Genomic DNA, 20,936 nt, shown 5'->3' on the forward strand with positions numbered 1-20,936 from the left:
TATTGTGAATAGTGCTGCAGTAAACATACGTGTGCCTGTATCTTTAGAATAGAATTATTTATATTCCTTTGAGTATATACCCAGAAATGGGATTGCTGGGTCAAATGGTATTTCTGGTTCTAGATCCTTGAGGAATCACCATACTGTCTTCCACAATGGTTGAACTAATTTATGTTTCCACCAACAGTGTAAAAGCGTCCCTATTTCTCCACAGCCTCACCAGCATCTATTGTTTCTTGACTGTTTAATAATTGCCATTCTGACTGGCATGAGATGGTAGCTCATTGCGGTTTTGATTTGCATTTCTCTGATGATCAGTGATGTTGAGCTTTTTTTCATGTTTGTTGGTCGCATAAACGTCTTCTTTTGAGAAGCGTTTGTCTGTTCATATCCTTTGCCCACTTTTTGATGGGGTTGTTTGTTTTTTCTTTTAAATTTGTTTAAGTTCATTGTAAATTCTGTATATTAGACCTTCATCAGATGGGTAGATTGCAAAAATTTTCTCCCATTCTGTAGGTTGCCTGTTCACTCTGATGATAGTTTATTTTGCTGTGCAGAAGCTCGTTAGTTTATTTAGATCCCATTTGTCTATTTTTGCTTTCATTGCAATTGCTTTTGACGTTTTTGTCAAGAAGTATTTGCCCATGCCTATGTCCTGAATGGTATTGCCTAGGCTTTCATCTAGGATTTTTATGGTTTCGAGTTTTACATTTAAGTCTTTAATCCATATTGAGATAATTTTTGTATAAGGTGTAAGGAAATGGTCCAATTTCAGTTTTCTGCAAATGGCTAGCCGGCACTATTTACTGATTAGGAGATCCATTCCCCATTGCTTGTTTTGTCAAGTTTGTCAAAGATCAGATGGTTGTAGGTGTGTGGTGTTATTTCTGAGGTCTCTCTTGTGCTTCATGGGTCTATATGTTTGTTTAGGTACCAGTACCATGCTGTTTTGATTACTGTAGAAATCAGTAGCATGATACCTCCAGCTTTGTTCTTTTTGCTTAGGATGGTCTTGGCTATTTGGGGTCTTCTTTGATTCCATATGAAATTTAAAATATTTTTTTCTAATTCTGTGAAGAATATCAATGGTAGTTTGATGGGCATAGCATTGAATCTATAAATTACTTTGCCCAAAAGCTACCATTGACTTTCTTCACAGAATTGGAAAAAAATGCTTAAACTTCATATGCAACCAAAAAAGAGACCACACAGCCAAGACAATCCTGGGCAAGAACAACAAAGCTGGAGACATCACACTACCTGAATTCAAACTTTACTACAAGCCTACAGTAACCAAAACAGCATGGTACTGGTACCAAAACAGATATATAGACCAATGGAACAGAATGGAGGCCTCAGAAATAACACCACACACCTACTACCATCTGATGTTTGACAAACCTGACACACAAGCAATGGGGAAAAGATTCCCTATTTAGTAAATGGTGTTGGGAAAACTGGCTAGCCATATACAGAACACTGAAACTGGATCCCTTCTTTACACCTTATACAAAAATCAACTCAAGATGGATCAAAGACTTAAACGTAAGACCGAGGACCATAAAAATCCTAGAAGAAAACCTGGGCAATACCATTCAGGACATAGGCATGGGCAAAGACTTCATGACTAAAATACCAAAAGCAATGGCAACAAAAGCCAAAATTGACAATTGGGATCTAATTAAACTTAAGAGCTTCTACACCGCAAAAGAAACTATCATCAGAGTGAACAGGTAACCTACAGAATGGGAGAAAATTTTGCAATCTATCCATCTGACAAAGGACTAATATCCAGAATCTACAAAGAACTTTAAACAAATTTACAAGAAAAAAACAAACAACCACATCAAAAAATGGGCAAAGGATATGAACAGACATTTCTCAAAAGAAGACACTTATGCAGCCAATGGACATATGAAAAAATGCTCGTCATCCTGGTCATTAGAGAAATGCATATCAAAACCACAATGAGATACCATCTCACGCCAGTTAGAATGGCGATCATTAACAAGTCAGGAAACAACAGATGCTGGAGAGGTTTTGGAAAAGTAGGAATTCTTTTACACTGTGGTTGGGAGTGTAAATTTGTTCAACCATTGTGGAAGACAGTGTGGTGATTCTTCAAGGATCTAGAACTAGAAATACCATTTGACCCAGCAATCCCATTACTGGGTATGTACCCAAAGGATTATAAATCATTCTGCAATAAAGAGACATGCACACATATGTTTATTGCAGCACTATTCACAATAGCAAAGACTTGAAACCAACCCAAATGTCCATCAATGATAGACTGGATAAAGAAAATGTGGCACATACACACCACGGAATACTATGCAGCTATAAAAAAGGATGAGTTCATGTCCTTTGCAGGGACATGGATGAAGCTGGAATCCATCATTCTCAGCAAACTATCACAAGATCAGAAAATAAAACACCACATGTTCTCACTCATAAGTGGGAGTTGAACAATGAGAACACCTGGACTCAAGGAGGGGAACATCACACACTGGGGCCTGCGGGGGATGAGGGGGCTAGGGGAGGAATAACATTAGGAGAAATACCTCATGTAGGTGACTGGTTGATGGGTGCATCAAACCACCATGGCATGTGTATACCTATGTAACAAAACTGCATGTTCTGCACATGTAACCCAGAACTTAAAGTATAATAAAATAAATAAATAAATAAATAAATAAATTACTTTGGGCAGTATGGCTATTTTCACTACATTACTTCTTCCTATCCATGGGCATGAAATGTTCTTCCATTTGTTTGTTTTCTTTCTTATTTCCTTGAGCAGTGGTTTGTAGTTCTCCTTGAAGAGGTCCTTCACGTTCTTTGTTAGCTGTATTCCTAAATATTTTATTCTCTTTGTAGTGATTGTGAGTAGGAGTTCTTTTGTGATTTGGCTCTCTGCTTTCCTATTGTTGGTATAAAGGAATGCTTGTGATTTTTGCACATTAATTTTGTATCCTGAGACTTTGCTGAAGTTGCTTATCAGTTCAAGAAGTTTTTGGGCTGCGATGGTGGAGTTTTCTAAATATAACATCATGTTGTCTGCAAATAGAGGCAACTTGACTTCCTCTCTTCCTATTTGAATACCCCTTATTTCTTTCTCTTGCCTGATGGCCCTGGCCAGAACTTGTAATACTAGGTTGAATAGAAATGGTGAGAGAGGGCATCCTTGTCTTGTGCCGGTTTTCAAAGGAAATGCATCCAGCTTTTGCTCATTCAATATGATATTGGCTGGGGGCTTGTCATAAACAGTTTTTATTACTTTGAGATGTGTTCCATCAATACCTAGTTTACTGGGAGTTTTTAACATGAAGGGGTGTTGAATTTTATCAAAGGCCTTTTCTGCATCTATTGAGATAATCATATGGTTTTTGTCTTTGGTTCTTTTTATGTGATGGATTACATTTATTGACTTGTGTATGTTGAACCAGCCTTGCATCCCAGGGATGAAGCTGATTTGATTGTGATGGATAAGATTTTTGATGTGCTGCTGGATTCGGTTTGCCAGTATTTTATCGAGGACTTTTTTGCATCGATGTTCTCCAGGGATATTGGCCTGAAGTCTTTTTTTGTGTCTCTCTTCCTGGTTGTGGTATCAGGATAATGCTGGCTTCATACAATGAGTTAGGGAGGAGTCCCTCCTTTTCAATTGTCTGGAATAGTTTCAGGAGGAATGGTACCAGCTCCTGTTTATATTTTTGGTAGAATTCAGCTGTGAGCCCATCTGGTCCTGGGCTTTTTTTGGTTGCTAGGCTATTAATTACTGCCTCAATTTCAGAGTTTGTTATTGGTCAATTCAGGGATTCAACTTCTTCCTGGTTTAGTCTTGGTAAGGTGTATGCATCCAGGAATTTATCCATTTCTTCTAGATTTTCTGGTTTATTTACATAGAGGTGTTTATAGTATTCTCTGATGATAGTTTTTATTTCTGTGGGGTCAATGGTGATATCCCCTTTATCATTTTTATTATGTCTATTTGATTCTTCTCTCTCTTCTTCAACTATCTGTTAATTTTTTCAAAAAACAACTCCTGGATTTGTTGATTTTTTAAAAGAGTTTGTCATATCTCTATCTCCACTTCTCTGATCTTAATTATTTCTTGTCTTCTGCTAGCTTTTGGATTAGTTTGCTCTTACCTCTCTAGTTCTTTTAATTGTGATGTTAGAGTGTTGATTTGAGATCTTTCCAGCTTTCTGATGTGGGCATTTAGTGTTATAAATTTCCCTCTTAACACTGCTTTAGCTGTGTCCCAGAGATTCTGGTACATTGTCTCTTTGTTCTCACTGGTTTCAAAGAACTTCTTGATTTCTGCCTTAATTTCATTATTTACCCAGGAGTCATTAATGAACAGGTTGTTTGATTTCCATGAAATTGTGTGGTTTTGAGTGGGTTTCTTAATCCTGAGTTCTACTTTGATTGCACTGTGGTCTGAGAGACTGTTATGGTTTCAGTTCTTTTGCATTTGCTGAGGAATGTTTTACTTTCAATTATTGGTTGATTTTAGAATAAATGCCATGTGGCACTGAGAGGAATGTATATTCTATTGATTTACAGTACAGAGTTCTTTAGATTTCTACTAGGTCCACTTGATCCAGAGCTGAGTTCAAGTCCTGAATATCCTTGTCAATTTTCTGTCTCATTGATCTGTCTAATACTGACAGTGGGGTGTTAAAGTCTCCCACTATTATTGTGTGGGAGTCTAAGTCTCTCTGTAGGTCTCTAAGAACTTGTTTTATGAATCTGGGTGCTCCTATATTGGGTGCATATATATTTAGAATAGTTAGCTCTTCCTGTTGACTTGTTCCCTTTACCATTATGTAATGCCATTCTTTGTCTTTTTTGATCATTGTTGGTTTAAAGTCTGTTTTTTCAGAGACTAAGATTACAACCCCTGCTTTTTCTTTTCTCTCCATTTGCTTGGTAAATTTTCCTCCATCCCTTTATTTTGAGCCTATGTGTGTCTTTGCATGTAAGTGGGTCTCCTAAATACAGCACACTGATAGGTCTTGATTTCTTATCCAATTTGCCAGTCTGTGTCTTTTAATTTAGGCATTGTTTTTACATTTAAGTTTAGTATTATTATGTGTGAATTTGATCCTGTCATCATGATACTATTTGGTTATTTTGCACACCAGGTGATTCAGTTTCTTCATAGTGTCATTGGTCTTTATATTTTGATGTGTTTTTGCAGTGGCTGGCACCAGTTTTTCCTTTCCATATTTAGTGCTTCTTTTAGGAGCTCTTGCAGGACAGACCTGGTGGAAAAGAAATCCCTCAGCATTTGCTTGTCTGAAAACGATTTTATTTCTCCTTCTCTTATGAAGCTTAGTTTGGCTGGATATGAAATTCTGGGTTGAAAATTATTTTCTTTAAGAATGTTGAATATTGGCCCCCAATCTTTTCTGGCTTCTAGAGTTTCTGTTGAGAGGTCTACTATTTGTCTGATGGGCTTCCCTTTGTAGGTGACCTGGCCTTTCTCTCTGACTGCCCTTAACAGTTTTCCTTCATTTCAACCTTGGAGAATCTGATGATTATGTGTCTTGGGGTTGATCTTGTTGTGGAGTATCTTAACGGTGTTCTCTGTATTTCCTGAATTTGCATGTTGGCCTGTCTTAGTAGGTTGGGGAAGTTCTCATGGATAATATCCCGAAGTGTGTTTTCCATCTTGTTTCCATTCTCCCCGTCTCCTTCTCATACTCCAATCAATCGTAGGTTCGGTCTTTTCACATAGACCCATATTTCTTGGAGGTTTTGTTTGTTCCTTTTCATTCTTTTTTCTCTCTTCTTGTCTGCATGTCTTATTTCAGTAAGCTGGTCTTCAAACTCTGATATCCTTTCTTCTGCTTGGTTGATTCGGCTGTTGATACTTATGTATGCTTCACAAAGGTCTCGTGTTGTGTTTTTCAGCTCCATTAGGTCATTTACGTTCCTCTTTAAACTGGTTATTCTAGTTTGCAATCCCTTTAACCTTTCGTCAAGGTTCTTTGTTTCTTCTTCTTCTTCTTCTTCTTTTTTTTTTTTTTGGTCAGAGTTTTGCTCTTGTTGCCTAGGTTGGAGTGCAATCTCAGCTCGCTACAACCTCCACCTCACGGGTTCAAGCAATTCTCCTGTTTCAGCTTCCCAAGCAGCTGAGGTTATAGGTGCATGCCACCACACCTGGCTAATTTTTGTATTTTCAGTAGAGATGGGGTTTCATCATATTGGTCAGGCTGGTCTCAAACTGCTGACCTCAGGTGATCTGCCTGCCTCGGCCTCCCACAGTGCTGGGATTACAGACGTGAGCCACTGCACTCAGCCAGTTCTTAGCTTCTTTGCCTTGGGTTAGAACATGCTCCTTTAGCTCACCGTAGTTTTTTATTACCCATCTTCTGAAGCCTACTTCTGTCAATTCGTCCATCTGATCCTCCCCACAGTTCTGCACTCTTGATGGAGAGATGTTGCAATCATTTGGAGGAGAAGAGGCACTCTGGCCTTTTGGGTTTTCAGAAATATTTTCGTTGATTCTTTCTTATCTTCATGAGTTTGTCTAGTTTTGATCTTTGAGGCTGCTTACCCTTGGATGGGGTTTTTGTGGGGGCCTTTGTTGTTGTTATTGTTGATGCCATTGTTGTCACTTTCTGCTTGTTTGTTTTTCTTTCAATAGTCAGGTCCCTCTTCCGTAGGGCTGTTGAAGTTTGCTGGGGGTTCACTTCAGGCCCTATTCATCTGATTCGCTCCTGTGCCTGGAGATGTCATTCAAGGAGGCTGGAGAACAGCAAAGATGGGTGTTTGCTCCTTTTTCAGGGACCTCTGACCTTAAGAGGCACCAACCTGATGCCAGTAGGATCGCTCCTGTATAGGGTGTCTGATAACCCCTGTTGGAGGGTCTCACCCAGTTGGGTGGCACAGGGAGCAGAACCCATTAAATGAAGCATTTTGTCCCTTGGTGGTGATGGTGGTGTGCTTCACTGGTGGGAAACCCACTCGTCTAGGCTGCCCGGATTCCTCAGAACTACCCGGAGGAGAGGCTAAGTCTGCTGGTCTGCAGAGACTGTGGCCACCCTGCCGCCTTGGGGCTCAGGCCCAGGGACATCTGAATTCTGTCCCTGAGCCTCTGGCTGGAGTTATTGGAGGTCCTGCAGGGAAGCCCGGCCCACTGAGGAAGAATGGGTCAGGGGTAGGCCTGAAGAGGCACGCTGGCTGCAGACTGCCACAGCCAGTGTGTTGGGCTGTGGGGACAAGTCTTGGGACCAAGCCGCTCAGCCTTCCTGGCTCCAGCAGGAGAAAAGAGCAGCCTGGAGCTATAGAAATGAGTGCTGCCCTTCCCCCGCCCAGGGAGCTTAGCGTGTTAGGCAGTTGCAAGTCCCAGTGCTGGCTGCTGCCCCTCCCCCAAGGGGCTGAAACGGCTTAAGACAGCAGGCAGCCGCAGCCGGTGCTGGTCGCCCCTCCCCCTGGGAGTTCAGTAGGCTTAAGCAGATTCCAGCTGAGAGGCTATAAGAATCTGCACATTGCGGGGTTGGAACACTAGGCCCCAGTGGCATGGGTTCAAAAGTGGAAACTTCCCATCTGTGGGTTGCACAGTTCCATGGAAAAAGCACAGTTTCCCCTGCTGGGTAGTGCGCTCACTCACCACCTCCCTTGGTGGGGGGAGGGGGTTCCCCTTCTGTGGCTCTCAGGTGGGCGGCACACCACATTGCGTGGGTAACGCCAGACTTCTAGACAATTTTGATGAGAGAACCTGGATACGCTGGTTGCCGGTGAAGGACTCACCCGCTTATTATGGTTTTTTTTTTCATTATTTATTATTATTATTATTATTATTATTATTATTATTATTGAGATGGAGTTTCGCTCTTGTCACTGGACGGGAGCCTCTAAACGCTGCTGCTTCCACTCTGCCATCTTGGCCCCGCCCCTCTCTTCTTCCTGTTAACCTGCATGGAAGGAGGGCAGGCTTTTCCCCTGCAGTGGCTGCTTGTTCTATATGGAAAAACAAAAGAAAACAAAAACGTCTTTGCTGTACCACCGTCAACCCACTGCCAACACCGTGTTGTGTGTGCAAATGAAACTGCTTTTCTCAAGTCAATTTGATGAACATCTCGGTTAAAAATAATGGTTCTACTATCCCTTTTCATGGCCAGAGCCTTTGAGGCATCATTAGGCTGAACAACATGCAAGAACTTATGCAAGCCTGGGCTGTCAGAGTACCAGCAGGGAGCTCCTGGTGTAGTTTGAGAGCCAAGTGGTGAGGGTTTGGCAGCTTGGAGCAAAGCTACCTCTCTTCCGTCTTGAAAACATGGTGAGATGACCAATGGGCCTCCTGTGTTCAGCTGTTTCTCATGATTTCTGTATGCTTACGTATTTGGGAGCTGGAATCTCACTCTTCTGCTATTGAAGCCTGATTTGGCAGCTTACTGCTTGGTAGTCTGAGTGCATTCCCTAACTTCCTTGTCTGTTTTCTCAACATGTAAAACTGGGAAAACACAAGTATCTATCTCATTGTGAAGAGAATTCAAAGGATTTAATGCCTAAAAGTGTTTCTTACAGTTGTGTGTAATTAGTTTCCTTGAACAGATTCTTATCCTGGAGTCTGGTAACAAAGGTATAAATAACGAAGAACAGAATTCATTCAAAACCGTAACTGAGGCTGCAGGAGGCTTAGCTCAGAGTTACTCCCTGTTGAAGCACTGTTCATCCTCAGAGGTGGCAAAACCCTGGAGAAATTCTTTTCTATTGTTATTTTAAATATATTTTTATTTAATTTTTGTTGGTGCACAGTAGGTGTACATATTTATGGGGTACATGAGACGTATTGATATAGGCATGCAATGTGTAATAATGACATCAAGGAGAATGGGGTAGCCATTCCCTCAAGCATTTATCCTTTGTGTAATAAACCATCCAATTATGCCCTTTTAGCTATTTTACTGGGAACTTCTTAATCTTCGGGCAAATACCGAAATTGTTAGCAGAGCCTACAGGTTTCTACATTGAGAAGAAGCCTTGGAGAACGTGTGCAAGTGTTGCAGAGCCAGGAGATGAGCAGCTCATCACACCCAACAGCCCCTACCTGCCCCTGGACGGACTGACTTCCAGGGTCAGGGTACAGCGCTGACCTAGGTCTGGCCTGGTTTTGCTTGGTTTGGGGCCCTGATTTGTCATGTCTGACACCTGCTCTCAAAGAAGAGCCTGGCTATGTCATCGCAGCTCCAGGTATGACCCAGGCTGCTCTTAGATCCATTGCTAATGGAAACTTTATCCAATGCCTTTCCCCCGGTTCTTGTTTTGGTTCCTTAACTGTAACTCACTGTCCACATCCTAGCTGCTAGACAAGGGTTCTGTTTATCTGGCAAGCTCAGGATAGTGGGCTCTGTGAGGGGATAGGGCTGGGGTGATCATCTGTGCGCCATGTGCTGGGTGATTTACGTAGAAATCGGCTATTTCAACCCTTAGCATTCTCTGTATAGCATTATCACCAAATTACAGAAAAGAAAACTGAGCTTTACAGTGGGCAAGTAGGTTAGCTAGTGAGGAGCAGGACTGGGGTTCCAGCCTAGACCTGGGTAAATCTCAAGCCAGTGCTTGTTCCAGGGCACAGCCTTGCAGCGGCACCGAGAGGAAGATTGGCTAGGAGTCTAGACCTCATCCTGGCTTCCTCTCCCTCCTTCTCATCATGTTTCCTGTATTCCTTAGAAAGACTGCTCTGTGAGGTCGGGTGTGGTGGCTCACACCTGTAATCCCAGCACTTTTGGGAGGCCGAGGCAGGTGGATCACTTGAGGCCAGGAGTTCAAAACCAGCCTGGCTAACATGGTGAAACCCTGTCTCCACTAAAAATAAAAAATAAGCTGGGCGTGGTGACGGGCACCTGTAATCCCTGCTACTCAGGAGGCTGAGGCAGGAGAATCTCTTGAACCTGGGAGGTGGAGGTTACACTGAGCAGAGATCATGCACTGCACTCCAGCCTGGGCAACAGAGCGAGACTCTGTCTCAAAAAAAAAGACTACTCTGTGAAGAGTTAACTATTGTGAAGACCTCACCTTCACTTGACAAGACCTGTGGTGCTGCTCAGAGGATTTGTTATAGTGCTGGAGGTTGTGGGTGCCCTCTCCTCAGACCTGATGTTGTTAATAGGTACCCGGATTTAAAGCACACAGTGAATGGGGTCAGGGCTATGTCTTCATCCTAGCCAGCAATATTACAAAATCTTGTTTTGATGCTCATGCTGGCTCAGAAAACTCCACCCACTTCTCAGTAAACTCACTCTAGGGACCTGCTGTCCAATGGTAGTCAATACCATAATCTTTATGGAGAGAAGGTAAATGCAGCCTGGTTGCAGGGCTACTCACCAAGGACTGGGGAGAGAAGGATGGAGTCCCAAAAGAGGTTTGCCTGCTTCTCTCCCAGACCATGGCCCTAGGGAATCTGTTTCAAAAGTGTAGCTCATGCATTGCGGCCCAGATTCCTAACATCTGTCCAGCTGTGTGGTCGCCAGGGCCTCCAGCTGCCAGTCAGATGGGAACTTGAAAGGTGACGTGACCTTCAGATAAACAAAGCAAGAGCTGAGGTAACAGCAAACATCAGGCAAATATTTGCCATAGGAACTGCGTTTGAACTCTCCCCCGTGGTGTAGGTCCAGGTTTGCTAGCACAACCTGACCTCGGCAACCTTGCCCTCTACTTGTTGTTTTGAGATAATTCATTTTAGTGTGTAGGTTTTCCACAGGCTCTGCTTGAGTCAATAAGTGATCTCATGACCCCAGAGCATTCTATTTGGGGCTCCTCTACAGGAAGCCCAACATGGCTCCAGGGCAGGTGGGTAATCTTTTCTTTTCTGGATGGAACACACCTAGATACTTTAGTTATGGTACTCATGTCTTAGGAAGAGTGTAAAAAACTGAAGAAGTAATTAAGAACATCTTGAACCATAAGGTGGCTCAGATGGAATGAAATGGATGAGTTTACCTTGAAAGCAACACATCTCTTAGCCCACTACTTCTTGGTTCATGCACTGTTGCTTTTCTATGGCTGATAGAAAGTAATCTTGATTATCAGAAGATGTGGGTCTATTATTAAGGCTATCATTAAGAAGACAGAGGAGGAAGTGGGAAGAAAAGGAAGAAGGATGAAGAGAGAAGGAGATGGAAAACAGGAAGGAGATGAAGAAGGAGAAGGAGGCATGGGGAGGGGAAAGCAGGGAGAAAGAGGAGGAAGAGAAGAAGAAGGTGGCAGAGAAAAGAAGGAAGAGAAGAGAACTGATATCTACTGAGTGCCCACTGCATGCCAACAATTTTGCATGAATTATCTTATTCAATCATGAAAACAGTCCTTTAATTTAGGCACTAGTAGTTCCCCATTTTTCAGATGAGAACCTCACTCCTAGAGAGGGTTGATAACTTCTCCCAAGTCACACATCCAGGAGTTACAGGGCTGGAACTGCGCCACTCAGGATGGTGTGACCCCACAGCTCCACCTCCATCTGTGCTTGCTCTAGAGGCCTGTATCTACACAGAACACCACTGTTGGGGAAGGGGAGGTTTCATTGGCCAGTGGTGATGCATCAATATTGGACAAATGCCCAGTTATTAACAGAGAGAATACCTTTAACTTCTAGCCTATACTGAAAAAAGGAAGGCTTAGTACCCAGAACTCTCTGCTAATAAGATTTTTATTCATTCAGAATTTTTTTGAGAAAGTAAACTTCCAGGAGAGTCCATAAGGCCTATGACATTAAATTAAATCTTTTGCACGTTCTGAATTATCAGACCCAGACCCAAGGAATGGGAAATTATATTTGGAATCATTTCCCCAAAGCCCCATCAAATAGTGTAGTCATCAGAATAACCTGGGGAGTCTGAATCCTGAATCGGTGTTCTCGTGGATTCTGGTCCTGGTTCTGGCAGTCACTGGGCAGGCAGCCTTGGAGGGGCCCCTTAAATATTCAGTCCCCTCATCTATATGGTGGGTGGTTTAGGCTCCTTGTGTCCTGAAAGATAAGATAAGCACATTTCAATACATACTGAAACTGAAGGGATGGTCACAATCACCACCCTTGAGTCTCCAGCTGGCTTGGGAAGGTGAAGGAAAGAGACAGACAAGGTGCTCCTGGGCCAGTTGAAGGAGGGACCCTCCTGGTGTGGGGATAAGTAAAGGGCAGACGTGCAGAGTCAATGATGTTTTACCTGGAACCCAAGGAATGGGTGAAAGGTGAACAGAAAGCATTCTAGCCAGAGGGAAAGAGCAGGGGTGAGGCCTGGAGGCAGGAGAGAAGCTGCCATGTAATTGATCATTGGACAGGGCTTGTTGAGAATTACACCAGGGCCTCAGGCATAAGCCAGGACACTGCCAGGCAAGCCAGGTGAATGTCATCCTAAACACAGGCTGCACTAATATTCTTGGTTTTCATCCTCAAAGAGATTAGGGTTACCTGGCAGGCTTCTTTTATTTATTTCTTTTTTCACAGGTTGTATGTCTTTTTTTTTTTTTTTTTTTTTTTTTTTTTGAGACGGAGTCTCGCTGTCGCCCAGGCTGGAGTGCAGTGGCGCAATCTCGGCTCACTGCAGGCTCCGCCCCCTGGGGTTCACGCCATTCTCCTGCCTCAGCCTCCCGAGTAGCTGGGACTACAGGCGCCCGCCACCTCGCCCGGCTAATTTTTTGTATTTTTAGTAGAGACGGGGTTTCACCGTGTTAGCCAGGATGGTCTCGATCTCCTGACCTCGTGATCCGCCCGCCTCGGCCTCCCAAAGTGCTGGGATTACAGGTGTGAGCCACCGCGCCCGGCCGGTTGTATGTCTTATTTGTATCTTCTGACATATCATTCACATATAGTAAAGTGCACAGATGTGAAGTTCACACCTTGATGTGTGTCTACCTGTTTATACACCCAGGTAACTGTCACCGGATCAAGACTTGGGGCATTTCCACATCTGCAGAAGGCTCCCTTCTTCCCCTCAGTCCTGCCCTCCCCACCCCAGGGGAGACACTTTCTGGACTCTACCAAACTTCTAAATGGAGTCATGTGCTGTGTGCATTGCAGGACTCTAGTGCCAGGGAGGGGTTGATGTGATCCCTTTGATTTGTATTTGGAAAGATGGTACCCTGCTGTCTGCAGCATGGAGAATGAATAGGAGGGGCCCCACTTGCAGCTGGAAGATGAGATGGAGGCTGTTCAGTCCTCAGGACCTAGGACACAGGGGCCTGAATGGGGAAAGGATGGAAAATAGTGGCAGACGGTGGTTAAATCAACCAGACCTGGTGGCTGTGTGTGGGTACGGGGGATAGAAGAACTAACGCTGGTTCCTGGGCTGCTGTCTTGGTGCCTGGGAATCGGGGCAGAGAAGCTGTGCATTGAGCCAAGGAACCTGGAGAAGGAAACCCAGAGGAGGAGGATGGGAGTGACTTGGGGCCTGGGGCTTGTTGAGTTTGAGATGCTTGGTACTGCCAGGTGGAGGGGCTGCACAGGTGGATGGACTGAGACACCAGTCAAGCAATGGGCACATCCATAATGCTGGGCAAACAGACAGAGCTGTGATCATGAGACAATTGCTCTGGGAGAAAGAAATTAATAAGAAAGCAGTCAGAACTCAACAGTCATGAGTCTCATAAAGATGTTTCAGTCAGTGATGGACCAAATATACAATTGTGGTCACGTAAGATTACAGTACCGTGTTTTTACTGTATCTTTTCTACATTTAGCTGTTTAGATACACAGATACCATTGTGTTACAATTGCCTGCAGTGTTTAGTGTCTTCGCGTGCTGTATGGGTTTGCAGCCTGGGAGCTATAGGCTATGCCATATAGCCTGGGTGTGCAGTAGCTGTACCATCTAGGATTGTGTAAGTCACTCTATGATATTTATACAACAAAATCACCTATGATGCATTTCTCAGAACGTATCCCGACCATTAAGTGATGCATGACTGTAATGATCAGCTGAGTAAAGAAAAGTGCACCCACAAAGAGACTGAGAGGGACCCCAGAAAAGTAGGGGGACGTCCAGGAGAATATGGAACTGCAGAGTCAAGGGGACGGAGTGCTTCCCAAAGGCTGAGGACAGGAGCGGCCTTTACTGTGGCTGTGAATCTTGTTAAGCTGCTATCAGATCCCAGTTCCCTGTTCCTGCATCCTTTCTCCTGAGTCAAGACTAGCAGCTTCTCAGTGAGAAACTTCGAATCTTGTAATTGGAGTAGGTCTGAAAGCATTGTAAGAAGCTCTGTGAGATTCAAACTTATTGCTTTATATATGATCTTAAGACTCAACCCCTGGGAGCTGGATACAACCATGGTTTTCCAACAGCTTCAGACAGGGTCTCTGAAGGCAGGCAGTCATTCCTCTTAGAGGCTTTGGAGACTCAGGCCCTTGTTCTCCCTTCCCCTCTGGTATCCCTGAGCTCATCAGCCCTGACTTCCTGAGTGGCCAGGGTCATTTTCCTTTTAGAAAAATCAGATAAATAGAACAAGACAATACAAACAACAGACAAAAAACCCTGTGAGATCATCAGGTACAATAATAGTAACGATTATTCATCCACCATCTGTTTTGGGTGGGGCACTTCACATGCTTTATCCTATTCTCACAATGGCCTTGTGAGTGAGAGATTCCCACTTTTCAGATGTCGGAGTTGAGGTCACAGTGCTAGTGAGTGGTGTCTGAGCCACATGAGGCTGACTGTAGACTGGGCCCACCGTTCCACCGCACCATGCCGAGTCTCAAGAATGTATATGCTCTGTTGAAAATCAAACCCTGGCTCCTGAGTGACAGATGGAAACACTGGGGTGAATCGTGTTGATTCACTTCCATAAGCATTTACCAAGCCCCTTCTATGCCAGGCATACACCATGATCAGCACTGGGGAGACAGAGGGAAAATCTTGAGCAAGTGAACTTCCAGCTGAGACAGAGACACAATAAGCTAATGGACAAATAAAGTCATTTTAGAACATGCTCAGGGCTCTGAAGGGAATAAGAGGAGGTGAATGAAAGTGATCATATGAAGGGGCAATTAAAGTTGGGCTGTCAAGGTCTCCAGGAGCCCAAGTTCCAGGGAACTCCTGCCAGGTTGGAGCTTCTTCCAGGCTGTGCAGTTTGCCTCGAAGACCACGTTCTGATCCTGTGGGCCAGCAGGTGTGTTACTTGCTGGCCAAGGACCTGGGGTTCTATCATCAGTAATGTTTGCCAAAGGGACTAAGCAGTTTTTATTTCTAAGGCAAGGTAAATCCTGCAACAGTCAAAACTGGCCTGTGATAAAGATTTGGTGAACATAGAATGTGCACGGTGGAATGTGTTGACTTAAAGACACCTCAGGTCCCCACATCAAGAAAACCTTCAACAACATCTTAAAGCAAAGGCACTACCTAGGAGAAGGCATGACGGTTTCACCTAAAAGATAGTCTTGGAGGCTAAAGGGACCCAGTGACAAGGTAGTGCCTCCTAAGCAGAGCTGGTACCCTAGGAGAGAATCCCTGTGACAAAGGTCCACATGCCTGGGCCAGAGCTGGGGTGGAGCCAGGTGGGTGCCTCCCCTGTAGATGAGTCTCCTGGGCATTCTAGCCCCTGGAAAGATCTGTCATTTCCTTAGGAGTGGAGTCTTCTCAGAAGGGTTCAGACTGGGAAGTGGGAACCTCTAGTCCAGCCTGCCCAAGGGCTTGGGGTCAGCAATGCGGACATGAGGGACACTGGCCAGGTGGAATTGAAGACTCACCCAAAGCAAGTCTTCCTCATCCTCCTCAGGGATTGGAGCTTGGAGAAGCCACCCCTTCAGTGCAGGAGAGCTCTGTTCTCTCCTTGGATAGCGTGCACCTGCCCTGGTACAGGTGGGGAGGTGCTGACTAGGAACCTCCTACCCAGGACTTGAAGGGTTAAGTCCATTTCCTTTAGAGGAGGCCTGTGGGAGTTATCAGGCACTCAGCACTGTGGGAGCACATGGCAAGGTCACTGCCCATGCTTCGCTTCTGGACTGGCATTTTTCCTGGAAGAAGGACAGCTGGGAGCAGTGGTGGTTGCCCTTGGACCCTGCTCCTCCATCTGCTTTCCCATCTGCTTGAGGGTCTTGCCATGACAGAGAGTGCCTGGGAGGAGGGCATCCAGCCACTTCATCTGGATGTTTGGGACCACACATATCAGCCCCAACTACTCTCCCTTGCCCTTGCCATTCCGCCAGTTGACAGCCTTGAAAGGAGATGGGATATGGTACAACAATCACAAGACTTTGGCTCCTGGGAAGCCCAGGAAGTGGACTTGGCTTGGCCCCACTTGCTGTGGCTCCAGCGAGGTCTTGCGTCTGCCTCCCCATCTGAAGTCATGGAGATATTCCTTGCTAAAGGAACCTGTCTGGGCCTGACATAGGAGGCGCTCCACAAATGGACTGTGCCCGTATCCTGAGCCTCCCAAACCCAGAAGCTCAGGTGGAAAGTCACCTGAATGGACGTGTTCTCCCTGTGTCACTTGACTCAAGGTTTTGTCCACATGCCCCTGCATCTTACTCTCTCCCTGCTTCCAGTGTTCCCTGCCAAATCATCATTCTCTAAACCACCATTCCCTAAACCATCATCCTCCAAAACACCCTTTTCTAAACCACTGTTCTCTAAACCACCCTTCTCTAAACCACCATTCTCTAAACCACCCTTCTCTAAATCACTTATCTCTAAACCACTGTTCTCTAAACCACCGTTCCCTAAACCATCGTTTTCTAAGCCACCCTTCTCTAAACCACTGATCTCTAAACCACTGTTCCCTAAACCATCATTCTCTAAACCACCCTTCTCTAAACCACTGTTCTCCAAACCATCGTTCTCTAAACCACCCTTCTCTGGCCTCATTGTGCTCACATTTCTGCTTAGATGCTTCCACGATGCTTCACTCCATGCAGACAAGCTTTTGGGTCTCGGCCCCCCCTGGATCCTTACACTGGGAGCCTGACTCTGGACCTTTACCTCACAGTCCCCTTGCCTTGGGAGGGTCTCTCCCCAGGTCATGGTGGGCTCCCAAACATGCCCCTTGCTGGCTTTCCCTTCTGCTCCTCTGAGTCCATCGAGATCTAGCTGTCCTATGAGGGCTGACTTTGCTCCTACCTTCTTCTCAGAGCTTTCCCCAGTCAACACACCTCTGAAATCTTAGAGTCTGTCTATGGGTAATTAATTTAACATTTCACACGTACTGTCTTGTCTCCTTCCTAAAATAGATCCCCTTGAGACAGGAGCTAATAGTCTTCCCTTTAAGCCTTCATCTGATTGTCCTCAACACATACCCAGGGCCCTGTGTCAAGAGCAAGACCCTAATGAACCTGACAATCACTGGGAAAGAGAAAAATTATGCCACAGAAAGTTTTAAATTAATCAACTAAGATCCATATTAAAAATTAGGAACATTTGTAGAAAGAATAAAATAATGAAGATGAGAACAGAAATCAGAGAAATAGAAAAAAGTACCCTAGAAAAGGTAAACAGAGCCAAAATTGTTTTGAAAAGACTAATAAAAGTGATGTGCACTGGCGAGATGGATCACAGGGTAAGTGGGCAGCTCTCGATGGTTCTTAACCCAAATGCCATCCAGATGTTGGGCTTAATTTATCAAAACAAGTCTGAAATCCCTAAAAGGCATTCCAGTCTGAACCTACGGGTTCATTAACATTTACTTAGCACGCCTCCTCAGGCCTCTCCTCCCACTGCTCTGGGATCTCAGGCTCCCAAATCCAGTGCCCTGAGGAGGAGGAGAAAGAGGAATAGGCAGAGGTCAGGAGCATGGTAAGCTCTATCCTTTCCTGGATTCAGAGATCTTAAGTAACTTGGAAGACAGAGATGCCATCCCCGAGTCCCTAAATGAACATAGGTCATTAGAGATCAGAGAACAGACAAACAGCACTCAAGCAGAGTGTAACTCAATCCCACACTTGGAGACACAAGCACGGCATTTGAGGAAGTGCCTGAAACTCACCTAGAGGATGGCATTGCCTTTGAAAAAGGAAACCAAGACCAGATTTATGAGTCTGCCACCAAACTGAAATAATTAGCTCAATTTTCTCGGCCATTGCAGCAGACTTTCAAGCTCTGCTTTAGGAATGGATAATTTACATGATAGGAAAACATGAAAACTTTACTATGCATTTATTAACATACCACAAGCATCTATTTCAAGACTAATGGAGATGTTTCTCAGTTGGTTAAGTAAGTAAATAAATAAATAAATAAATAAATAAATAAAAGCATCAGGAAAGACTCTAGCAAGTGGGTAAGACTCTAGAAGTGGGTAACATGTGAGGGAGAAACTCTAGATGGGGCCCGTGTCCTCCCATTGGGAATTGTCTATCCAGACAGAGAGACTCTGCTGGGCTACTCCCAGAGGGCACAGAAGAAAGACCTTTCTATGGGTTCAACACTAACGCCTGTCTTACATCTGGAACCAGGACCTTTTGCAATTCAGCAGAAATCTGCTGGGAACCTGATGTGTGCCAAGCATTGGTCTGGAATCTGTGGATACTAGATGAATTAGTTGTAAGCCCTGCCCTTGAGGAACCACAGTCTAGCTGGGAGGACAGTTATCTTAACACCCATGTAGGGCACAGTATGATCACAGGCAGGAGGTGCACAGAGGCTCTTTGTGAATGAGTTAATGAACAGTTAATGAATGACTAATGATGCTAGCAGTATGCACACCGTGCCTAAGTTCTCTGGCTGTCCTCGCCTGCCAAAGGTGTATTGGACAAGGTGAGCATAAAGATTATCACCCACAACAGTTTTAAGAGTGAAGGCGACCCATGGAAAAATGCACAAGGACAACAGGAGTAACCAGAACTGTCGTAAGCAAACAGATTGTACGGTCATCCTAACTATGGGAAGGTAGGAAACTGGAAAGACAGGGAAGTATAACATGGGAAGAATGTTTACTTTTTCTCCACTCATTTCTTAAATGTTTAATTTTTTTTAAACTTTTAACTGTGGAAAAACATATATACGATAAAATTTGCCATGTTACTTTTAAGGGTACAGTTCGGTAGCATTAAGTACATTCACATTGTTGTGCAGTCTTCAAAACTCTCTTCACCTTGCGAAACTAAAACTCCATGCCCATTCAGTGATAGCACCCCATTCCCCCTCCCTCTAGACCCTGGCAACCCTGCTTTCTGTCTCTATAGATTAGACTACTTAGATGCCTCATGTAAGTGGACTTATACAGTATTTGTCTTTTTTGTGTGGCTGGTTAATTTCACTCAGCATGAGGTCCTCAAGGTTCTTCTACTCATTCCTTGATAAGTGTTATCACAGCATCAAATTCACACTTGCAATGACATCATTGAGAACTAAAAGCTATGCAGTCATTGCATCATTGCTATTCTCAGCTGACGAGATTTAGTTTGAGCTTTTCTTTCTTTTGTTTGCATTGCATCAGCTACATTACAGGAATTCTTAGACTATTAAAGTGCAGGTTCCATTGTGGAAAAACACAAGTTGTTCACAAGGCCTTCAATAGCTCATAGTCTTGTTGCTAATTGAAGAATAACCAGACCAGGGCTTCCTGGGACTGGCAGGCTGGGCCCACTGACACATTATTGTTTCAATGGTACTTAGTCTGTGGGGGATTTTGTTTGTTTATAGGCTTCTAAATTTGGGGTTCATGGCTATTTTATAAGTCTATGTAATCCTCAATTTTCTTATGAATTGTATACCTATGTTTTATTTAAAAGTGTATCATTCCTGTGATTATTACATATGGCATGCCTGTAACAAAATATCTCATGTACCCTATAAATATAAACACCTACTATGTGCCAATAAAAATTTTAAAAAATTTATTATAGTTTAAGTTCTGGGATACATGTGTAGAACGTGCAGGTCTGTTACATAGGTATACACATGTCACAGTGGTTTGCTGCCCCCATCAACTCGTCATCTATATTAGGTATTTCTCCTAATGCTATCACTCCCCTTGCCACCCACCTCCCAACATGCCCCAGTGTGGGATGCTCCCTCCCTATGTCCATGTGTTCTCTATTCAACTCCCACTTAGGAGTGAGAACATGCGGTGTTGGTTTTCTGTTCCTGTGTTAGTTTGCTGAGAATGATGGTTTCCAGCTTCATCCATGTTCTTGCAAAGGACATGAACTCATCCTTTTTTATGGCTGCATAGTATTCCATGGTGTGTATGTGCCACATTTTCTTCATCCAATCTATCATTGATGAGCATTTGGGTTGGTGCCAAGTCTTTGCTATTGTGAATAGTACTGCAATAAACATACGTGTGCATGTGTCTTTATAGCAGAATGATTTATAATCTTATGGGTATATACCCAGTAATGGGCCAAATGGTATTTCTGGTTCTAGATCCTTGAGGAATCACCATACTGTCTTCCACAATGGTTGAAATAATTTACACTTACACCAACAGTTTAAAAGCATTCCTATTTCTCCACAACTTCTCCAGCATCTGTTGTTTCCTGATTTTTTAATGATCACCAATCTAACTGGTGTGAGATAGTATCTCATTGTGGTTTTGATTTGCATTTCTCTAATGACCAGTGATGATGAGCTTTTTTCATGTTTATTGGCCACATAAATGTCTTCTTTTGGGAATTGCCTGTTCATATTCTTTGCCCACTTTTTGATGGGGTTGTTTTTTTCTTGTAAATTTAAGTTCCTTGTAGATTTTAGATATTGGCTCTTTGTCAGATGGATAGATTGCAAAATTTTTCTCCCACTCTGTAGGTTGCCTGTTCACCCTGATGATAGTTTCTTTTGCTGTGCAGATGCTCTTTAGTTTAATTAAATCCCATTTGTCAATTTTGGCTTTTGTTGCCATTGCTTTTAGTGTTTTAATCATGAAGTCTTTGCCCATGCCAATGTCCTGAATGGTACTGCCTAGGTTTTCTTCTAGAGTTTTTATGGGTTTAGGTCTTACATTTAAGTTTTTAATCCATCTCGAGTTAATTTGTGTATAAGATGTAAGGAAGG

General features: G+C 43.8%; 4 annotated features.

Annotated features, from left to right (window-relative positions):
- Positions 7,050 to 7,704: an enhancer, noted in NCBI's record as "OCT4-NANOG-H3K27ac-H3K4me1 hESC enhancer chr10:44728896-44729550 (GRCh37/hg19 assembly coordinates)". NCBI's record gives its function as "activates a minimal SCP1, AML or CMV promoter by ChIP-STARR-seq in naive and primed H9 embryonic stem cells {active_cell/tissue: H9 hESC(naive and primed)}" and the evidence as "EXISTENCE:reporter gene assay evidence [ECO:0000049][PMID:30033119]".
- Positions 7,705 to 8,359: an enhancer, noted in NCBI's record as "OCT4-NANOG-H3K27ac-H3K4me1 hESC enhancer chr10:44729551-44730205 (GRCh37/hg19 assembly coordinates)". NCBI's record gives its function as "activates a minimal SCP1, AML or CMV promoter by ChIP-STARR-seq in naive and primed H9 embryonic stem cells {active_cell/tissue: H9 hESC(naive and primed)}" and the evidence as "EXISTENCE:reporter gene assay evidence [ECO:0000049][PMID:30033119]".
- Positions 8,360 to 9,013: an enhancer, noted in NCBI's record as "OCT4-NANOG-H3K4me1 hESC enhancer chr10:44730206-44730859 (GRCh37/hg19 assembly coordinates)". NCBI's record gives its function as "activates a minimal SCP1, AML or CMV promoter by ChIP-STARR-seq in primed H9 embryonic stem cells {active_cell/tissue: H9 hESC(primed)}" and the evidence as "EXISTENCE:reporter gene assay evidence [ECO:0000049][PMID:30033119]".
- Positions 19,446 to 19,615: an enhancer, noted in NCBI's record as "experimental_13072 CRE fragment used in MPRA reporter constructs". NCBI's record gives its function as "activates a minimal promoter by MPRAs in K562 erythroleukemia cells, with activity observed for both the introgressed and non-introgressed 10:44741377 variant alleles {active_cell/tissue: K562}" and the evidence as "EXISTENCE:reporter gene assay evidence [ECO:0000049][PMID:34662402]".

This window comes from Homo sapiens, chromosome 10, assembly GCF_000001405.40.
Source record: "Homo sapiens chromosome 10, GRCh38.p14 Primary Assembly".
Classification (NCBI taxonomy): domain Eukaryota; kingdom Metazoa; phylum Chordata; class Mammalia; order Primates; family Hominidae; genus Homo; species Homo sapiens.